General features: G+C 36.9%; 1 protein-coding gene across 7 annotated transcripts in view; it reads right to left on the bottom strand.

Moving 5' to 3' along the window:
* Positions 1-23,634, bottom strand: part of KCTD16 (potassium channel tetramerization domain containing 16) — a 314,814-nt gene that overhangs the window by 218,055 nt on the left and 73,125 nt on the right. For 3 of the 7 annotated variants that reach the window (XM_047417449.1, XM_011537673.3, XM_047417450.1), the window contains one exon: positions 13,453-17,426. The exons of the other annotated variants lie outside the window; for them this stretch is intronic. In XM_047417449.1, the coding sequence (XP_047273405.1) occupies positions 17,398-17,426 (29 nt within the window). In that variant the 3' untranslated portion in view covers positions 13,453-17,397. Of the gene's footprint in view, positions 1-13,452; positions 17,427-23,634 lie in introns of those variants that run through there. 7 annotated transcript variants of the gene reach the window in all.

The raw sequence follows: 23,634 nt of genomic DNA, 5'->3' as shown, positions 1-23,634 counted from the left end.
TGACCCCTAAATACAACCTACAGATATGGAAAGCAGAATGAAAATCAGAAAAAAATGGATAAAGCCACAGTTTGGGGGTATAAACTCCAGGAAGCACTGATTCATTTATTAAATTAATATTTGCTGCTTGCCTTCTGCATGCTAAGAAGAGCCTCACATAGCAAGTGAGGCTTGTCTCACATAATGCTTAGGATAATTAAGAACAACCAGCATTTTAAAGTGCTTCCCATGCCCCAGTCTTTCCCTATGTGCCTTCCATTTTTTTGACTGAATTAATCTTCAAAGTAACCTCCCTAGGTTTGAACAATCATTATCCACAGTTAATAAGCAAGGAAACTGAGGTACAGAAAGTTAAGGAAGGTGCTCAATGTCACACAGTTCATATACGGTGGGGCATAGGTTCAAACCAGGCCATCTGACACAGATCTCACTCTTGTACCACTTAGCCAATCTTATTCATCTTCTGTAAGGAACCATCATCTTTGGCAAATACTTAGGATCTATCCTTGAGAATGGTGATAGAGTTTTATAAATCATCCAACATTTTTCTGCTGATTTCACCTCATGACCAGAAGATTTAATTTTATAATTACTGCATGCAAGGTATGTGTGTCAAGGAAAAAAATATATATAAACCAGTGAATTAGTTAGCAAAAATCGCAATTACTTTTGCACCAACCGAATAAGAGGCTTTGGCCAAAATTCATGCTTCAGGACCAGATGAACTAAAATATCTGTATCATAGGACAGAAAAAAATAGGTCAGCAAAGAGGTAAAATAAAGGTCTGCTTCAATGAATTTTTTCCCAGAGATGAGCACAGTATCCAACTGCTGGCTATAAAAAAAAAATAGAAATCTTGTGTGATTAGCTGGGTTCATATACTTTGTGCACATTGCCTATTAAGCATGACTCTGAAGCTGTAATTTTAAACACTAGGTGGGCAATTACAACAAACTCATTTGTGTTTTACAGATTTATCTCCAAGAAGGAAGAAAACATAACAAGGTTAGGGAAGGGTATTTGGTCAAAGCCTTGATGTGCTTCTATTTAGACATTTTTTAAATAAGCCCATTAGATTCTCAGGCTTTGAGGTCAATTGTGCAGTTCTTGATGAAACATTACCCAAGTGAATTATTTATAAAGTTGCAGGAAACTGCAAATTCTGGTGAACAAATCTTTTTGATGCTCTCATCTCCTGCAGCGTTGTTTTGGTGCTACCCTCTACTGCCTTCTTCAAATATTCTAGGCTCTCTTTGGCTACAGCTGTCCATTCACCTCAAAAGGCAGCCCAGCTCCTTTCCATACAGGTTGTGGAAAGGAGCTATCCAGTCAAGGTGTCTCTCTCAGTTTTTTATTTCCCCCAGGTGCCAGATTGAGAAAAGTTAGGCAGTGACAAAGGAGAATTGAAGACAATGTACTCATATACATATATGCATGCATGCATACATACTTACATATATTTGTTGTTTTTTAACCATAGCCTAAAAGTATTATTAATGTTGTCATTCATCAAAGGCTGTCCCCAACCTCTCAGAGGCAACACACTGGGAAAATCTGTTTTCGCAATTCCAGAAACACATCTGGATTCAATGTTTTTAAAAGTAATGTTAATATCCTCTGACCACATGAAAGAACCTGATTCTGAATGTAAACTATTGAGTTTTCCATTTTCATACATAATACCCTTTTTGAGGCCATATATAGGAGAAAAAAGCTGAAGCACTGATATTAGATATATCTAGCTTTGAATTCCTAATAGTATCCCTGTACGAACTTGGCACATTACGTAATATTTCTGAGCTTGTTTTCTCAATGAGACAATACAAATAGTAATAACCATAGATTAGAATTGCTGTCAGGACTAGAATTGGCATATTAAATGACAGTTTCAAATACATCTTGATTATCACACATGACATATATTTATGTTCCTAAATAGTAGCTTTTATGATGATGGTTCATTCATTCAACAATATTTAAGAGTGTTCTAAGAACCAAGCACAGTTTTGGGCATAGAAGATACAGCCAACTTCGTGAATTCCTAGTCTTCTTGGAGATTACAGTCTTTAAAATTGTTAGCATTTAGGTTGAATAAAGCCAGAGGCATGGGCAGGAGTTTGTTTCAAGATCCTGGGTTGTTTCCTTAACTTCAGTGTGTTTTCTGACAAAGTATTACAAGGAGATCGTATTATTCCAACAACTCTCATAATATAAAATCAATTGACGGTATAGTCATTCTCCTTATGAATAAAGAAATCCTTAGAGAGGGAGATGAAAATAAAAGTGTCAGTGGAAAAGCAGGATATTATACTGGCATGCAGCAGTTGTTATTTTTGCTGTTTGTTTTCACTGTTTTTAACTATCTTACCTGCTTGTGATTAAGGTAATAATATTAAACCATGCTAATGTCCTTCTGTTTTGGAAAAAAAAATGTAAATACACATTTCTGACACCTGTAAAGTTCTCATAAGTAGATAATTTTCTCCTTACAACTGTTGGATTGATAAGGTAATGGAACAATTTCCTTTTACGGAAAATTAGAACACAACTCAATTTGCTATAGTTTTATTCTTCTATAGTAGAGAGTTAAGATTGCTAACAGCTAGGAAGTATATGTCTCTGGCAAGAGTTTAAATGCCAAATTTCCCAAGGAAGATTTACTCATTTCTGTTGCACTTATCTCATTATAACTGATTGAAATTGTATGGAGTTTTTTTAGTAAACATGTGCCTTAAATTATGTGATTAGTGCTAAATATTACATGTATATGAGTTTTGACTAAATTAAACTTTTAAGTACACAAGGAAAAGTTTGAGACTTAAAGTCATCCTATTGTTAATCGTTTCTGTTTGTTTGTTTGAGACAGGGTCTCACTGTATCACCCAGGCTGGAGTGCAGTGGCACCATCACAGCTCACTGCTTCTTGACCTCCTAGGCTCAAGCAATCCTCCCATCTCAGCCTCCTGAATGGCTGGAATCACAGGCGGGCACCACCATGCCCAGCTAACTTTTTACATTTTCTATGTTTTTTTTAGAGATGGGGTCTTCCTATGTTGCTCAGACTGGACTCGAACTCCTGGGCTCAAGAGATCCTCCTACCTTGGCCCTCCAAAGTGTTGGGATTATAGTCACCACTCCAGACCTATCACAGCTCCTGACCTGTTCATTGTTTCTAATTTAATGAAAACCCACAACCCTTTTATGTATTTTATGTAAATCCAAATTTACATATGTATTAACATTTAGAGATCCAAAATCCTTACATTTCTAGAAGTACAAAATGAAAAACGTGAAATTCATATATCAAATGTGTTTGTCCCTGAATTATAATACTGTGTGATTTAAATTCTCATGTTTATTCTGTTATGTATTTTTCAGGATCATACACAAACAGTAAGCATGCATAATCTTTATACAGAGAAAGATTGTAAAAGTAAATAGAAGTACATAAATTATTTTAATTTAAATTAATTTCAGATGAATATGTTCAAAAGACATGGGGACCCCAAAGCTAAAATTCAGAAATAAGGCTTGTGTTACAGTCTAAATGTTTTTTGAAATTCATATGCTGAAGCTTTAACCCCCAGTGTGATGGTATTAGGAGATGGAGCTCTTGGGAGGAGGTAACAAGGTTTAGATGAGGTTTATGAGGGTGGAACCCCACGCTGAAATTAATGCCCTTATAAGTACAGGAAAAGACACCAGAGTTTTCTCTCTTCTTCATCATGTGAGGATACAGTGAAAAGGTAGCTGCCTGCAAGAAAGGATGAGAACCTTCATCAATAACCCAGTCATGGTGGCACTCTGATCTTGGACTTCCCAGCTTCCAGAACTGTGGGAAATAAATGTCTGTTTTTTAAGCCACCCAGTCTATGGTCTTCTTTAAAGCAGCATGGGCTGACTAAAACAGATGGAATAATTGGTCTGAACTACTTTCCCAAACTGCAGTCATTTGTACATGACCTTCATGTGTTTTGCCAAAATCTGTATACATTTATCATTTTTTTAATCTTCTAATACTTATTTTTAAAAACTCATTAAATGTTGAATTTTATATCCCAATTCTACCTGGACAATCACTATAATTAGCCATGAAAAGAAGGAAAGACTAAAAATAATTATAATTAACCTAATAATATTGACTTCTAACCAGATACCATTTTCTATTCAAAGGCTCCGATTCTAACATTTGTTCATAGAAAAGGAAGATTAGCAGAGGTTTGAGGAGTTAAAGGTAATTTAGCACCACACTGAGACTTAATAATTATAATAATAATCAGAATAAAGAAGACTCAAACAGAGAATTTAGTTACGAAAATGTGAATCTGTTTTATTTAATCTTGATGCCCTTGCCACCAACAAACATCTCCTGTACCATTACATCTCCCATGCTGTGGGAACTATTGCTGTAAACCAGTTTGGACAAATAGAATAATATTGTCTTATAAAAGCCTCCAGAATTAGAATGTTTACAATTCTTCTGATAATTCATTATAATGATTACTAAGGTGACCATATGTCCCAGTTCACCAGGGCCAGCCCAACTTTATACCCATTGCCCAGGCATAATCATTAATAGCACCCATTTTCACATTCAAATGTGTCCTGACTTGGGAAAATCCATTATATATAGTCACCAGGTCATCATCATTCATCTGTCTATCAGTTAGAAGGTGTCCACCAGCACCTACTCTGGACCTGGCTCTGAATTATGTCTGGAAATACTAAGGTGAGTATGGCAGTTCCCAGCCCTCAGAGAGCTCATGAACAGATAGACAGGGCAAGGGAACCACTTGAAGACAAAATAAAGTGATAAGAGTCACACAGAGGTCTGTGCTATTGGGATCACAGAGGACAGATGAATCAAATAAACTGAAGATTTCTAAATGAGTAGGGCATGAATATTAACTGATCAGTAATATAAAAACTAACAAATCAGCTCCAAAGAAGTAGGAAGGTCTTTCTCTTTTAAGACAATGTTTTGTGTTCATGAGTTCAAAGAACTGGTGTGGAAAGGATTAAAATGAGAAGAGCACATAGTTTTCCTACTTATGTTTCTTCAAGTGGTTATAAGGTATAGGAAAACCTGTTCAACCTGATAAATCATCTGATATTAGATAAAGATAAAAAATGTTTGCAGAGCAAGAATATTCTTCACCATTTGCTAGTTTTAAAACATAAATCAGGTCAGTCATGTTATTTCCTTGCTTGAAACCCTTCACAGGTTGATTATTGTTTTATCAATGAATTATATACCTTGTCCCATAGCCCACAAGTTTTGTCCTTCCTCTGCAGCCTCATCTCCTGCTATCCTTGCCCTGGTGCATGAGGCTTTGGCCAAGTTCTTTCCCAGCCGAGCTCTTGTCTTTACTTTTGCTGTTCCCTCTGCCTGGAGCATTCTTCTTTCAGTACTTTAAAAGTCTGATGTATTTTCAGGTTACAGGTCTTGGTTCATATGTTCCCTGCTTAGAGAGGCCTTCCCCGATCCATTAATTCTTACCCATCTCATCCAGCCTGCCACATTTGCCATCTTCATAGCATTGACCACTAGGTATCTATTTCTTTTTATTGTCTTTCTTTCTCAGAAAGGGAGGAACATGATTGTAGCACTCCCTGTGTCTAGCACAGTGAGTGGCAACAAATGAAGTATTCAGTAAATATTTATGAAATGGATAAATAGAAGAGTTTGAGAGAAAATAAGTATGTGAAGTACTTATTTAATCAAAATGATTCTTTAAAAAAAAAGTCATTGTCCTCATTCAGCTTTTGGGACAGATAAGTGAGAAGAGGAAAGGACTGAAGCTTCAGGTACATGGGTTGTGGGTACTTGATGAGGTTGGGAGAAGGCCAACTGGTGAAAGACTCACTGTAAAGATTAAAGAAGAAAAATAATTGTCCCTCCAGTGGCACTTGCCAAGGGTTGCAATAAGCCCGGATGTGCAGTGAAACTGCAAGGAATTTTTACACTTTGAATATCCATTTCCAGATTTCACAGAGGACTTCTCAGGTGACCTTGAATAAGCCATTTAGGTACGTTTCTGAGTTACTTAATTGAACCATCTCTATGGAGAGAGGTGATGAGGCTTGTTAATTTACATTTGTAAAAACACTTTGAAATATCTGGATGAAAGAATTGCTGCAGAGAGGAACAAAGGGTGAGGTAATATGCTCGGTCAAATTCTCCCCTTTTATAGAAGCAGAGAGGGTGCAGGCACATTTGAGGTGACTTAAGGGGTGCCTTTGCCACATTATTTTTCAAATTAATCTTCTAAGAAAACCCCCTACTTTCAGTAAATCTAGTGTTTTAAATAAATTTATAAGATACTAATCTGGTAATTATTTTCCTTTAACATTTTTCTCCTAAAGTTCCAGCTTTGTGTAAAGGAAATCTTTAGGGTATTTTCCTGGGAGGTGTTCCCTCTACAACTGTTCCTTTTTTTTTTTTCTTTTTTTTTTTTTTTTTGTTGTTGTTCCCAAAGAGCTGAAATACAGCTCCTTCTTTCATTTGTTCATTTTTAGCCTGTATCAGTGATACTCAAATCTTAAGCATGACAGCCTCTGTTGCTAAGCTAATTGGGACCCAATTGGGGTCGTTTCATCAATTCTAGACAGATATTTACAAGTTACAGTCAGATATTAAAGTAAGCTCAGGAAGGAGAAAAGTGAGAAAATTTCAAAGAAAGCTGCCAGCCTATAGAGTTAATTATATCCATTTACATAAAAAATGATATTAATAGCTACTTAAGAAATAATACCAATATAACAGAAAAAAATTAGAATAATAGTCTCTTTCGGCAAGATAAATAGAGACTCAAATATAAGACATTAATTGCTAAAACTGTCAAGGCAAAAGCCAAGCTTTAAAAAAACAAACAACAACAACAACAAAAAAAACAGGCAACCATCTTTTTCGACATGCTACACCAATTATACACTTGCGATTCTGCCCAAATGACCATAAATCTCACATTATAGTTTCATTTATGTCTTTTTGGACCTTATAATTCTTATTTCTTTGGGAGGAAGCAATAAACAACTTTATTACTTGCTCTCAGAAATAATAGGAAGGATTTATTTGCCTTACTGTGCCTTGCTCTTCCTTGAAGAGGACTGAAGCTCCTTGTCCCTTTCAATGGATCTAGACAAGACACTTGTCCTAGGAAACTGCTTCTTCAGAAGGCTGCAGAGCTTGGTGTTCTTTCTCCATCATATCTTTCAGAATTTTCTTTAACTACTTTACCCTTGAAATCTCTTCTTCCTCAGCAGACAGCTGGGCCCCTTCTAGCTGCTCAGAGGCCATGCAGAGTTTAATTATTTCCAGGTCAAGTCCTGCATGCTGTCAATGAGCACACGACAGCTCATTCTTGAGTGCATCCTAGACCATATCCACAATCCCAGTTACATGAATACTGCATATGGAGCCACAGGAGAGGTTTTCCACAAACAGTCTTACTTCTCAGGACTTTTTCTTGTCTGCTCATACACGAACTGCATGAATGGAGTGAGAACAATTGCTCTATCTCTTATTTCCCTTTTTTATGCCAAAGTTTGCTTAGCTTTTGAGCTAACTATCCTAAGAGATGCCTTTCATTTCATGCAGACTGGAAAGATGAAATGCAACCTGCTTAGGGGCTGATTTGCAAACTCTTGTCCCATTCTTTGATTCATCACCTTGACAATAGAGTATTGAACATTATGACATGACAGAACGGGGTTGAACCATTAAATTCCTGTGGGCAAGGCATCCTAAACAGAGACTAAGGTACTATAAAGAAAATGTTTACTATTTTAAAATAAGTGGCTTCTTGATGGCCACAGGGTTTTTGCTAGCTTTTGACAGGTCACCTACTTGCATCTGTTTGTCAAAGAAAGAGCCTGACGGTCTTTACTTGAAAGAAAGAAATTCAGGGTATCATCACCATCACCTAGTCAGCCAACATCAAACATTTCCTGAGCATCCACTGAGTGCAAAGCAGGTTACAATATGCCCTAAGAAAATATATCTTTCTCTGCAAAGAAAGGATGAATCCAAACAAATGGAAACACCCATTTCTTTAGCCACTCGTCTGAGTACAATAAAAGAAGACAGGTTTGGACTGTATAAAGGGAGCCAGCTACATGGTCTGCAAATGGGCACATCTTTGAGTCCAGGTACTGGTTCTGTAATTGTTTTCGAATGCCATACATTTAGAAATGGCATCAAAATCCTGCAAGGCCTATTGAAAAGGAAATAAAATGTACTGTGTGTTTAGAAGAACATTTCAATTTGATACTAATCAAGTAGCATTATGTTCATGTCTGATCTGCTCATTCATTGACTGTTTTCCCAAGGACATGCTTCATCCCTTTTTTTTTTTTTTTTTTTTTTTTTTTGAGATGGAGTCTCGCTCTGTCATCCAGCCTGGAGTGCAGCGGCGCGATCTCGGCTAACTGCAAGCTCCGCCTCTCGGGTTCACCCCATTCTCCTGCCTCAGTCTCCTGAGTAGCTGGGACTACAGGCACCTGCCACCACCCCCGGCTAATTTTTTGTATTTTTAGTAGAGACGGGGTTTCACCGTGTTAGCCAGGATGGTCTCGATCTCCTAACCTCGTGATCTGCCCACTTCGGTCTCCCAAAGTGCTGGTATTACAGGCGTGAGCCACCGCACCCGGCCTCATCCCTTTTTTTATGGCTCATCAAAAATTTTCAGGTAGGAGTGTGGTGTGGCAAGAAAGTAGGATTTTGAGACAGACACACATGAGTCCACTTCCACCACTTACTGAGAGTCATTTCTCTGCAGGTAAGCAAATGAAGCTTGTTTCCATTTCCTCATCTATAAAATGACATAATAGCACTGAATTCATATAGCTGTGCAAAAGAAATTAGATCAACTATAAAAATAACATACTAGCAGATAGCCTGAAAAAATACTGTTTTCAAGAGAAATGAGCAATTTTTGTATTTTCCTCTGTTTGAATTAAAGTATATATGTCAGTGAATGAAGAACCCAATGACTTTTATTAATTGTTATCTCTTCCTGTTCTGAATGTGCATATTGTGCTTAAGGTCTGCTTAAATTCCATTGCAACTGTACACAATCATGTATCATCTCTTGTGTTATGTCATGTTTTAATCACACTACACTTTGGTTATATATTTAACCACACTAAACATTGTCTCTTCAGCTGAACAAAAGATCGTTAAGCACAAAGCCTGTTAGCAACTTTTATACATTCACTTTTTAAGGTACATTTAGACTAACTTGAATACCATGATAAATAATTACTAGATAACTGTACTCTATATTATACTATATATGATTATTATTACTATACTATTCTAAATATTATCTAGTAATAATAATATGTAGTAGAATAATATATAGTGTAATAATCTTTTGACAGCAGGAACTACAATGCATTGGTACTCACTAAAGACTTAGAATATGTAGGACACTGTCTTTATATAGATGTTCTTTTCATCTAATTTGCTATGATAGTCTTGATATTACTCATTTCAGCATTCCTAGGACTTAGCATGGTGTCTTTTTGCACTTAGAAAATGGTTCACATTCTATTGATGCATACAACAATAAATAGTCTTAAATAGTATCAATGTTGGTGAAATTGAAAGACTGGGGTATAGCTCTATAGCTCTATGAATTAAAATGGATATACATATTGTCCAGGGAGAAATATCCTTATAACTTATCGAAAAAGCTTCAGGCAATTTAGGTCTTACTGAACTCTTAGAGCTTGGTGGTACTGGTAGTTAATGCTGTGTTGTCCCAGAAATCAATCCCAAACACTGCACTACTCATTATGATAAGCTGATTCCCCAAGAATCTAATAAGAAACTATGACAGGCCAGGCACGGTGGCTCACGCCTGTAATCCCAGCACTTTGGGAGGCTGAGGCAGGCGGATCACGAGGTCAGGAGATCGAGACCATCCTGGCTTACACAGTGAAACCCCGTCTCTACTAAAAATATAAAAATTAGCCAGGCGTGGTGGTGGGCGCCTGTAGTCCCAGCTACTCGGGAGGCTGAGGCAGGAGAATGGCGTGAACCCAGGAGGCGGAGCTTGCAGGGAGCCGAGATCACGTCACTGCACTCCAGCCTGGGCGACAGAGCGAGACTCTGTCTCAAAAAAAAAAAGAAACTATGACTAAATATCTGCTGATTACTCCATGGGATGAGAAGTTCCAAACACCATTGTTTGGAATTATTTTAGAATTTGCAAACCTGAAACAAATGTGTCATTCTTAGTGGTTCAGTAGCTGTAAGAGCTCTTAGATTGGTCCCACCTTGTAGATCAAAAGTGGTTGATCTTGTCATCTTGAGCATTTACAAAAAAACTTTCTCTTACACTTATGTGAAATTGAGACTGTTCTACTACAGTGGTGACAAGAGTGTTCTAGAATAAAAATGAGTCCTAGATTTCAATTGTTCAATATGTACAAAGTATTGTGCTTTGGGAAATATCAAGGTAAACAATGCACAAATCACTGCCCTCTAGAAACTCACCAGTTAGTAGGGATACAGATACATACATAAGTAATTCAAATATAAAGTAGAAAAAGTGAGATACACAAAAAGTATCTTGGTGATTATGATATACATATTACTTTGCAAAAGAAAAAATATATTGCCACATTATTTACCTTCCACATTCTGATTTTACTACTCCCCTCTCAGAAAGACAGTTAAGGGGTGGAGATTTTTAAGATATCACTAAACCACTTTTCAAATTCTGGATTGAAGATGTTGATCATACCTTATCTGATCTGTCCTCTACCCAATATATAATCACACTGATTACTCATATTTGAAATCTGCAAAAAAATTAAAGTCCTAAAGTTTTTGGTATACAATAATTTTCCTTTAGCAACATGATGAATGGCTCCCAAACTTCCCATTTTGGTTACTAGATCTTCCAGAATGTCTTGTTGCTTTTGTAGTGCTATTAAGATGGCACCCCTCTCGGGCTAGCCCCAGGGGAAGTCAGGCAGACTGTAACATTAAAAAAAAAAAAACAAAAAAAACTCCTTGGGGACTTTCTGGAGGTATCAGCTACTAGTCTTTCTTGATATTGTCCTTCTTAATTCAGCACAAGAAGTAATGAACCTTATGGGTATGTTTACTCTTTGTTCCAAAAAACTAACCTATGGGTGATTCTGTTTGACAAACTCCAAACAGTCACACTAAACCGGTGTTTTGACCGTCTTTCTCTTAGCAACAGACTTTGCAAATTTTTTCTTTAATGGGAAAAAAAGAAGCAAACAGCCGTCAATTATTTTGGCTGAAGTCACAGTGTTTATAGTAGTGGAAGAATTTCTTTGGTTTTAGACTCCAAATAATAGAAAAAGAATGTAGAATGTGATGTTTATATCCGTACAAAGAATCATCGTTGCACCTTTTTTGTTTTGTCCAAATGATGCTGCATCTATTCCCACAGGCAATGCCCAGTTCGTGAGGAAAGGAGTTTAGTTTAAGAAAGAAGGTATGTAGATCCAAAGTGCCTGTATTCAAACCCAGAAAACAGTAACGTAACAGTCATAATCTCATTTTATCCAATGAAGACTTGAAAGCATCCTGGTACAATTTTTGAGAACAAGCACAGGTACGGTACTGACTTGGTATTTAAAGTGTTAATACTGTCTCTCTGAGTGACTCAGTATGCTCCAGGACACTGCTTCTAGAATTGCATTTGCCCTTAAGTAGTTGGGTAATCTCAACTAGTCACTTAATTTCTCCAAATTTCTATTTTATCATCTGTAAAAGAATCAGACATTCTCTAAGGTTTTATTTTCTCTAAAATCTGATGATTATGTTAGGATTTCTTCTTTTTAAATGCTGATAGTTTTACATGACCTTGGATTGTCTGGAGCAAAGTGAAGTAATTTCAGAATTACACTCACTTTGAGCTCCCAGGTACTAAATTTTTTTCAAAGTCAAAGGCACTTTGGCCTTTTACTCAATATCAAAAATTAGACAGGGAAAATGGGCTAAGCACTTGAATAGACATTTCTCCAAAGAAGATATGCAAATGGCCAATAAGTATATAAAAAGATGTCACTTCAGAAAAACGCAAATAAAAACCATAGTGAGACATAATTTCAAATCTACCAGGATGCATATCATTAAAAGACAAATGATAATAAGTGTTGGCAAGGATGTGGAAGAATTGGAACCTGCACACTGTTGGTAGGATTGCAAAATGGTGCAGCTGATGGAAAATGGAATGGAGGTTCCCCTAAAACTTAAATAAAGAACCACCATATGATAAAAAAAAATCCCACTTACAGATATCTGTCCAAAATAATTGAAATCAATACAATTTGAGGCTTTCAAAGAGATACCTGCACTCCTATGTTTATTGCAGCACTATTCACAAAAGCCAAGGTGTGAAAACAATTTAAATGTCCACTGACAGAAAAATGCATAAAGAAAATGTAGTATACACATACATGTAATGAAATGCTATTCAGCCTTAAAAAATAAGGAAATTCTACATCATTAAACAACATAGATGAACATTGAGGACATTATGCCACATGAAATAAGGCCATCACAGAAATAAATACTGAGCTGGACATGGTGGCTCATGCCTGTAATCCCAGCACCTTAGGAGACCAAGGTGGGAGGATCATTTGACCCTGGGAGTTCAAGACCAGCCTGGACAATATAGTGAGACCCCCATCCCTACAAAAATTTAAAAAAATAGCCAGGCATGGTAGTGCATGCACACCTGTGGTCCCAGCTACTTGAGAGGTTGAAGTGGGAGGATCGCATGAATCCAGGAGGTAGAGGCCGCAGTGAACTGTGATTACACCACTGCACTCCAGCCTGGATGACAGAGTGATTAAAAAAAAAAGAAAGACAAATACTGCATGCTTCCACTTATATGAGGTATGTAAAACACTCAAGGTCATAGAATCAAGGAGTGGAATGGCAGTTGCCAGAGGCTGTGGGAGGGGGAAATTAAAAGTTATTAACCAATGAGCATAAAGTTTCACTCAAATAAGATGAATAAGCCCTAGAGATTGTATGCACAACATTATACTTACAGTCAACAACAATGTAAACTTAAAATTTGTTAAGAGGGCAGATCTCATGTTAAGTATTTTTAGCATTTTTTTAAGGGCATGTAAGTCAATAAAATACAGCATATTTCAAAAAGGGAAGAAGAAGGTCTTCTGGTTGGGTGATCAGCTTATTCTCAAATGCAAGGAAACTGTTTCCCAGATAATGCAATGAGTGTTAGAATATGCATTTGCCAGGAGATCAAGACCATCCTGGCAAACACTGTGAAACCCCATCTCTAACTAAAAAAACAAAAAAAAAAAATTAGCTGGGCTTGGTGGCAGGCACCTGTAGTCCCCACTACTCAGGAGGCTGAGGCAGGAGAATGGCATGAACCCGGGGGTGGAGCTTCCAGTGAGCGGAGATCGCGCCACTGCACGACAGCCTGGGCGACAGAGCGAGACTCCGTCTCAAAAAAAATAAAAATAAATTAAAAAAAAAAAGAATATGCATTTGCCAACCAGATTGGTTTTCTCCAAAGACCTATCCAGGCCTTAGATACACGGGTCAGGAGACAACAAATTGTTACCCTAGAGACACTCATAATCAGCTGCCTACTTCTTTCCCAAGTCCCATGCGGGAGTCAACATGATAGTGATTTAGTAAAAATATAGCTGACAACAACCTTTTATTTTTTACCCCTGGAAAAATATCTAAAAACTTTTATATGAAAAACATATTTTTTAAAGTTTAAGTATAAAACATGGTTTCAGATTTTATTAGCACTTAATTTGGTCTAGGTATATGTATTTTTTCTCTCTTTTGGAGGCATTTATTCCTTCAGGGTTAAGTACCTTCAATCACAATTTCAATTTGTAATAAAAGACACACTTCAGGAGAGGAAAAATGCTTCTTTTAAGTCTCTCTCCACTAAACAGGTAAAACATCTTTAAAAAAATACAGAAAGGTGCCCAAAACGGTATTCTTTTTCTTTAAATGATTCCGTTATTTTCTATAGACACATGTCTGCACCAAGTTTATTTCTGAACCCCCAAAAAAGAGGGATCCAAGTAGTAAAGTTACACAAAGCTAGTCCTTATATTTGAAGAAGGAATATGTTTGATAAATAAGCTATCAGCTTGGTGAGAAAACAGAATAAAGCATCTGCTCTGTGCTAGTAACAATTCTTGGCATCATGAAGATACAAGAACACAGGAAACATCATAGCCTGTGATAAGTCTATGAGGTTCATTATGCTACACTCTCAATTTTTATATATACTTGAGAATTTTCATAATAGAAGATATTTTATGGAAGCCCAGATTCCAATATTACATGACTAAATGAAAAGTGATACATGGGATATCTATCTGTAATTTATAATTATGCACTATATAAATATGTAATTCAGGTAGATGTGTATCTACCTGCAAGTGGTGGGCTAGGGAAAAGACAACATGTTGGCCTGGGGATAAATATGACAACGAAAGGGGGCTTCATTTGGGAGAAGCATAAAATATTCTAAATGTAGTTGGTGATCCCTTTCCATATGGATATATCTAAATTATAATATTTTTAACACTACTCACTTTATTAAGAGAATTAGAAATGGCTCCAAGCAGGTCTGGCTTCAAACAATAGGTCATGGAAATCCAAAAGAGCTACTGATTTTAAAGCAATCAATTCACAGTGAAAAGGGAAAAGAGACAAAGGGGAGAAGGAGAAAAAAAAAAAAAGGCAAGATGAGAGAAAAAAAAACAACCCTCCTCTAAGCTGTGATGTGATAGAGCCAGGCTCTAATTACTGAGTTAAAGATAATTAGAGAGAGATGAAACTTTCCTGACACCAGCGTCCATCTCAAGGCTTCTCTGATGTACATAATCTAGTTGCACAGTTTTTTCCAGCAAAATGTTCCATTAAGGTTTTCTGACATGAGCCTCATTATCTTCCTGAAATCCAACTAACTCAATGGAATGATTCTTAGTGATCTGGTTGAACCCCTACTGAAAAAAAAAAAAAATTCACCTGTGAGACTGCAGATGCCAATTGTCACCCTAGCCTGTACTATTCAAAGGTGAACACTTTTGGCTCTTTGAGTTTTTCTAGGGAAGTGACATTTCTATTTATTATTCATCTACTTTGAGTTCTCATGAAAAGTGCTAAGGCCACCTGTCAAATGTTTGCATCGAAAGAAAAGTGACACACTGAAAATTAATAATGGCAGATTGAAATATTTGTGGATTTCCTGAAAAGGAAAAGAAATCAAGATTAACTCTGCTTTGGTTTTAGATAGCCCCAGACATGGGCTATTTAGTAAGTACTATTTACTCAGATTTATACTCATCCAAATAAATGAACACTTGGATTTTATTGTTGGTCAAAGGGTAAACAATTTCAGTTATATGCTGGGTGAATCAGTTCTGGAGATCTAATATACAGCACGCTGGCTGTAGTTAATAATACCATATTGTATACTTGAAATTTGCTAAGAGATCTGTAATATTCTCACCATGTACAAACACATAAAATATTTTATAATAACTATGTGAAGCAATGAATATGTTAATTACCTTGATTTTGGTAATCATTTCACAAATAAACATATCAAAACATCACATTGCACTCCTTAAATATACACAGTTTTTATTTGTTAATTATACTTTAATAAAGATGTAGGAAAAAGAAGGAAAGATGATAAATGGGATGGTTGTCTCCTTTACATTTTAAACATTAATTAATGATAGTATTTTTCAAAAGAAAGACTTCTTCATATGCTGAAGATATTCAACTTATGAAAAACTAATGAACACCTAACTTTTCAAGAATAGATTTACTACATATACTATACTGATGTATCATGAACTATAAGCTGCCATTGGCATGCCTGTATATATAAATTGCATCTGAACCTTCCACTTTGCATAGAAATTCTTACGGTTACCTCCAGTCAGAAGGTGACTGCGTAAATGGTCAGGAAACTCCTGAAGAAAAGCCACATCTTTGGAGACTGAAGAGTAGGTTTAAAATGTCACTTTTTATTGCTGCCTTGCTCAAAATTCATCAGCATGTCCATTTTAGTTATATAATAGCATTGAAAAGGTTGTCTATTGTTTCTGCTACTTTTAAATCAACTATTTAGTTCTGTTCAGATAATAATAGTTACCATTGATTTAATGCTTTGCCAAGCTTTCAGCTACTAATGAATATGTAATATCTCATAATGCTCAAAATAAGCCTATGTTTATAATCTCACTGTAAATGAGGAAACTGAGGCAGAGATTACATAATTTGCCCAAGGTTATGTAGCAGTAAATAGTGGAGCTGAGTGAGAACCCAGGTACTTTGCCTCCAGAACTCCCTTTTAAACAACACACCACCCCCTACTACCTTTCTGTATCTGTTACATGCAGACTTTTTAGCTTGATAAGCTAAAATTCTTCAAAAAAGTTTAATTCTTCAAGCTTCGCCTTAATTGACCCTACCAGGTTTATCTCTTATATTTCAGGACTTCTCTACACAGATCCCAAACTCTGGCCAAACTGAGACTGGCCACTTCCCCATACATCCTGAACTTTCTCTCTTTTGAAATTTTACCAATAATATTTCCTCAAAGTAAAAATGTGGCTACTTATCGAGAGCAGGAGACTAGATAACAATACCATTTTAAAACATATATACATATATATAATAATTGTAAAAGTTGGCATTTATTTTTCAATTACCATATGCTAAAAACTGTGTTAATCCACTTACATAAATATATCATGAATGCAATTATGCATAATAATACATATAGATATTGTTAGCCCCATGTTATGAAATGACACATATAGATGACATATAGATATTGTTAGCCCAATGTTATGAAATGAAACAAAGGCTTAGCAAGGTTAAATATCTTATCCAAAAAACTCTGACTAATAAGTGGTAGAGTCACAATTTGGACCCAAGTATGTCTGACTCTAAAAAGTAAGCCTTTAACCATACACTCTAGGCTGCATCTATTCTAAATCCTAATTTGCACTATAGTTATTTGAGAGCAAATGTAAATTGCCTACTAAACTGTATACTTCTCGGAACAAAGGCTAGATTCTGCATTTCTGTATCCCCCACAGTTCTGAGAAAAACGTTTCTGGAAGTGTAGCAAGTAAAACAAAGAATTCCAATGTAAAATGTCAATTTTGTGATTTCTGGGCTACAGATACTCTGGGAGGACCCCACTTCCCTCCCCATACTCACCTCCAAGCACCACTTCTGTTAAAGTGTGCATTATTTTGGACCATGGTTAGGTTAACACAGCAGCAGATGATTGCAGAAAGAGCTAGAGTGTGGTGGGTCCCCTTCTGTGCAGCTCTGCTGGAAATAACCCAAGGTGGAAATGGCTCACAATTCCTCACGTTGCAATGAGTACTGTAGAAAGTGCTGTGGTTTGTGGAACATATTAGAACCAACCATTAGTTCAGGCTTCTCAGATATGATAAAGCCCCCAGAGTTTCTAAAATTTGGTAAAAATGTGAAAAGAAGCATGTTTCCTGTTACACTGCCAGCAGCCGGAGTCTGAGAAATATGTATGTAAATTAAAGAAAGTTATTTAAATATACCAGTCAGAAGATATTAATAAATCTGATTTGGCTCTAAAAGTGGGCAAAGACTTGAGTCAGCAAAATTTGAGACCATTTCTAATTTTATCTGACCCATTTAGTTAAATGCTGCTCCTTCTGACAGTATCAGTGCCTGTGATATCATAGAGACCTAGCATGTTATTTGGAAAGAACATCAGACTCAAAGTCATGAGACATAGGTTCAAAGTCAGGCTCTGTCATTTAAATGCAGAGTAACCTTGAGAAAGTTATCTGGTTCTAGTAAGCCTCATTTTCATATATAAAATACGGATAGCCTGACCTATTGATCTTGTATTGTTAATACAAAAACCCACATGAAATACTTTGCAATTTGTAAGTTCTACAACATAAAATGCATTAATTAAGCAACGGAGGCAAAATTGTAGCCAACATAAAGACAGTATTAAATTTTTAAAGATTTTATTATAACAGAGAATAGGCTTTCTCTCCACCAACTCCTTTCCTTCCTACCCCCGTTAACTTATTAAATAAATAGTTACTGAATGCTTAAGATGTATCAGACACTGTATTAGGTAAACAGTGGCAAACAAGTCAGATAAGATACTTTGTGGGAGAGGGGAGGGGAAGGAGACAATCAATGAATGTATAAATAAATAAATGAATCATTTCAGAGGATGAGAAGTAATATGGAGATAATTATAATGATTACAAAAGAGCATTCTAAGGAGTGAACACATGAGCTGCAATCTGAATAATCACAAGGAGCCTCTGACGCAGAAAAAAAATGGGAAGAGTATAAGAATATTACAGAAACGGAGAACACGAACTGCAAGTCCCTAAGACCAAATGATCTTAGCATGTTCAAGAAACAGAAATAAGGTCCTTATAGAAGTAGCATGAGAAATGAAGACGAGGGTGTTGCAAGGTAGGCTGGACAAGTAATACATATAGGAAGGGTCCTGGGATATGTAGTAAAGAATTTGTATTTTATTCTAAATGAAGAGGGAAGCCATTGGATAGCTTTAAGGAGAGAGTGACTCGATCTGATTTCCAAGATCAGGATCTTTGCTGAGACCAAGTAAAGAGGCAGAGTCTTTGTTATATTAGCACCTTGAGTTTTTATTTTAAGAGAAGCAGGAAATATTTACCTTTGAAAGATTCTTCCATGGTGGAAACGAATAGGCATGTCAAACTCAACATGTCCCAAACTAAGATTTCTCTCCAACCCTACTGCCCCCACAGCCTTCCCTCTTTCAGAAATAGTCATGATAGGCTTCTAGTTTTCAGAACAAAAACCACAATGTCATCCGTGACACATCCAATTCATCAGCAAAGCCAGAGGCTGTTTCTCACCTTCTTCATTCCTATTATCATGGCTTCAAGTAGTACTCATTCCCTGCCTAAATGGTTGGAATGGCCTCCTAATGGGTCTCCCTGTTCCCAACCACATCTCTCGACAGTCTATTTTCAAAAGAGCAGCCAGAGGGAGCCTGTTAAAATGAAAGTCAGATAATATTCTTTCTTGTCCAAATCTTCTATTGTTCTCCCATCTTAGAGACAAAATCAAATTCCTCACAATGTCCTACGAGACTGGACAGTATTTAGTTCACTTGCTTCACTGTCCACAGTTCCTGCCAGTTTGTTTCATCCACACCGGCCTTCTTGGTGTTCCTTGAACACTCATGCCCATGAGCCAGCTCAGATCTTTGATTTTCCTGGTTCTTCTGCACTAAACACATTCTCCAGATATCCATAAAGCTTTCTTTCTTTGCCTCTTTCAAGATTTTACTGAAATTGCCTCTTCTCAATGACATCATCCTTGTAACTCTCTCTTAAATGGCACTACTGCCCCCTACTCTCCCTTTCTCAAGTCTCTGCCTCCAAGGGGCTTACTTCCTTCTCCCGTACTGTATATTTTGATTATTTATCTGACACATTGTTTAATTCCCCAAAATGGAAAGAAAGCTCCATAAGGGCAAGGTTATCTGTCTCAGTCATTGCCACATTCCCAGTGCTACATAAAAGAAGCTCAATAAATATTTATGACATAAATGAAGAATCTGAAATCACATGCCTCCTCCTAACGTCAGAGTCACTGAGCATGGAAAATAGCCCAGGACCTGCTCATCAGGTGTTGCTTGCAGGGAAGAACAGTGGACAGACAAGATGGTGGGAAAATTAGAGAAGTAGGAGGAAGTCCTGAGAGAGAAGACACCGTTGGACACCCATTGAAAACAATGACTTAGAGGGAAAATTAAGAAATAGTCTACAACATCTTCTAGGCTTTAAGTGTGTTCATAATCAGCAGTATTGGTTGGTTTACTTTTCTGGTAATGTATTACATAAAAATTACCCTGTAAAGTAGGTAATAATAATAATCATGATCATGGTATTAATTACTATAATTTATTGAAAACTGTTCCAGTTGCTACCAACACTTACCTACCCCACAACCAGCTTCAAACAACTATTTTATCATATTCACAGATTTTATGGGCCAGAAATTCAGACAGCACAGTGGGAATAGTTTATCTGTGCTCCCATGTTTGGAGCCACAGCTGGAAAGACTTGATTGCTGGGAACTAAAATCATCTATAGGTCTCTCCCCTCACACAACTGGCAGCTAATGCAGGCTGGTGGCTGGGATCTCAACAGAAGCTGTTGACAGAGCCTCCCAGTAGTCTCTCTGTGTGCCTGAGTTGCCTCAGGGTGATCAGATTTCTTACATGACAGCTCAGGGCCCCCAGAGGAAGTGTTTCAGTAAACAAAGCAGAAGCTTCAATGTCTTTCATTACCCAGTCTTGGAAGTCATAGTCATCATTTCCATCATACTCTGTGGTCAAAGCAGTCACAAGTCACAGAGAAGAAATAATCCCTATCTTTGAATATTAGGGTAGCTGGTCATGTAAAAGAGTGTATGGGATGGGAGCTATTGCAACCACCATCATTGAAAAACATAATCCCACAGAAACTAGAATAAGTGCTTTACCTAATAAACTAAGTTAATTCTCACAATACCCCTGAGAAATGCCATTATCTTGAATTTACAGTAAAAGGAACATGAACTGCAAAAGGCTAAATGATTTGCTCAAGATCACACTGTTGACAGGTGTTGCTGAGAGCCAAACCAATGTATAACTGACTCCAAAGTTCATGCTCTCCCTGATACATCTTCTCCATGGCTAGAGGAGGCAAGAAAGAACATGATGTGGGAGTTGGAGGAATGACACAGAAATCAGAGGGCCTGAAAAGGGGAGACGATGATGACAAGGACGATGACAATGATGAAGAAGAAGGAGGAGGAGGAGAAGGAGATCAATAAAGGCTTGATTTTAATGATTATGGTACCTTGTCAATGTTGGCACCTTGTCAATGATGGTACCTTGTCAATGTTAAATTATCATTTGGTGATTTGTTGTGTTTTACTTGAGGTGATATGGAGATAGGGTACACAATACCCTATATCCAGTTTCTCCTAAGTTAACACACAACAAGTATTTAAAACTTTAATTTAAAAATTACATGCCATAAAAGTTCTATATTAATTATTTTATTCTATTAGATTTTAAACAGAATGAAACAAGATATTCTATTGTTTGGATATTCCCAATATTTTGTCCCCTAAATAAATGTTTATCAGATGTAACTCAAAGCCAGATTTCCCTTATTTGTATCCTAATGGCTTCTGCAAAATAGCCACCATTTATTGAGCAAATGGACATAGCCTGATAATTTTTTAATGTTACCTGGAATTATATTCAGTGCTTTTTTGATAATGCACTCCCAAACAAAAACTTACAAGCCCCACTCTGGATTGAAGAGTTCACATTAAATTACTCTTCCCTATAAACATAATGATAGAAAAGTGGAGACTCAGCTGACTAATATGAAGCTTGATGAAGACCAACTCTCTGCCCAAACATCAGCTGATCTCTGTGATGCAGCATCCTTACTCATAACATCATTGCCCTGTACACCTCAAGAGTGCTCACTGACTGTCCTTAGGATAAAGACCACAATTCTTACCATAGCCCAAAAAGCCCTGTAGTGTCTGAATCTCAATGCCATCTTGTGTCCCCATGTTAGTCCATTCTTACATTGCTATAAAGAGATAGCTGAGACTGGGTAATTTATAAAGAAAAAAGGTTTAATTGGCCCATGGTTCTGCAGGCTTCATAGGAAGCATGGCAGCATTTGCTTCTGGGGAGGCCTCAGGGAATTTACAGTCATGGCAGAAGGTGAAGGGGGAGCCAGCACTTCACGTGGCCAAAGCAGGATGAAGAGAGAGGAGGGGGAAGTACTACACACTTTTAAACAACCAGATGTCATGAGAACTCACTATTGCAACAACCGCTCCAAGGGGGATGATGTTAAACCATGAGAAACAGCCTCCATGATCCAATCACCTCCCACCAGACCTGACCTCCAAGATTGGGGATTACAGTTGAACATGAGATTTGGATGGGGACACAGATCCAAACCACATCAGCCCCACTTCCTCTTTGTCCTCTGCTTTCCTCCCATTCTGGACCCTTTTGAGTTCTTCAGACATGTCATTCTTCTTCCTCCCTCAAGACTTTTGCAGATTTTAGTCCTTTTGCCTGGAATACTCTTATTTCCTCCATGTGTCTTGTTAACTCCTATACTTAAAGTCGCACCGCAACCATAACTTCCTTGCGGATGTTTTCCTTGACTTCTCTGATGAGGTTAAACCCTCTATTCCCTCATTATACACTCTTATATTAAAATAGTCTTCTCTTTCAAAGTATCTACCACAGTTGTATCTTTCCATTTATTAGTTTGATTCTTTGATTAATTTTTATCTCCCTTCTAGACTGTATGCTTCTTTAAGACAAAGATTGTGTGTGTATTTTCTCCCTAATCCTCATCACCCAGCACAATAGCAGGTCCATTGAAGATATTTAGTAATTATTTGTCAAATAAATAAATAAATGTACAATGGAATAAACAAAACATACAGTTTAAATTTCTGAGGGTCATGATCAGCTTGTAATAGAATATTGATCATTGTCTTCTCATATCTGGAGCTTTCTAATCTTATAATAATCTCCAAGGTTCACATCTGATGACAAGCCAAAATAATGCCTAATGATGTTACAGTTCACCCATGATTTTCAGCTTTCAAGGAGCTTTCATAGTCACTACTACATTTCATTTGATTCTCAAAACCATCCTAGGAGGGGATTTGTTACTGGCTTCATTTTTACCAATTAAGAATCTGAAGCTCAAAATGATACAAAGTTAAGGTTAGAATTCTGACCACAAAAGGCTCCTGGCAGATCAGTCTAGGGAAAGTGAGAAACTAGGAATTGGGTCTACTTTGAAGGTACATTGGGAAAGATATCTAAAAATAGAGATCTCTCCAATCCCAAGCAAAAACACAGGTTTAATGTGTTAAAGAGGTTATTTTGTTAATATGGAGATATAATGGATCACACATTGACCTGACCATAAAGTATATCTGATATGGAAGTGCAAAAATGAAAAGAAAAACAGTTAGTCCAATTCTGTGGAATTGACTTAGCAACCCTCACCAATTTGTCCTTTATATATATCTGTTTTGTGATTATTCTTTCTACTGCATGACAGCCAACTGCAAATAGACTTTCCTATCTCTATTTATCTATACAATGCAATTTAGCACTTTGTTATCAAATTTGCTCTTAATGCTTCCTATGTATACCTTTAGAATCACAACTAAAATAGAAGTAGGCAGGAACCATGTCTTAGCATAACTCAGTATGTCATAATCAAGCATCTTATAGATCATTTGACCAAACCATCTCTTTTTATAGAAGCATGACAATCCCAAAATAAATTGCCAAGATGTTGAGAAGAGATTTTGAGGGTCTTGAGCTACACAAAGACATAAATTACAGTCCTGAATCCCCCAAAGAGTGGGGAGTCTTAGAAACTCTCCATGCTTTGGTTAGAATACTCCCAAAGAGTTACATGCCATAAATAGAAAAGTATTCATGGGGGGCTGGACGCGGTGGCTCATGCCTGTAATCCTAGCACTTTGGGAG

Source organism: Homo sapiens, chromosome 5 (genome assembly GCF_000001405.40).
Source record: "Homo sapiens chromosome 5, GRCh38.p14 Primary Assembly".
NCBI classification, from domain to species: domain Eukaryota; kingdom Metazoa; phylum Chordata; class Mammalia; order Primates; family Hominidae; genus Homo; species Homo sapiens.
Note: the sequence above shows the minus strand (reverse complement) of the source record. Positions and strands in the feature narration are given on the sequence as shown.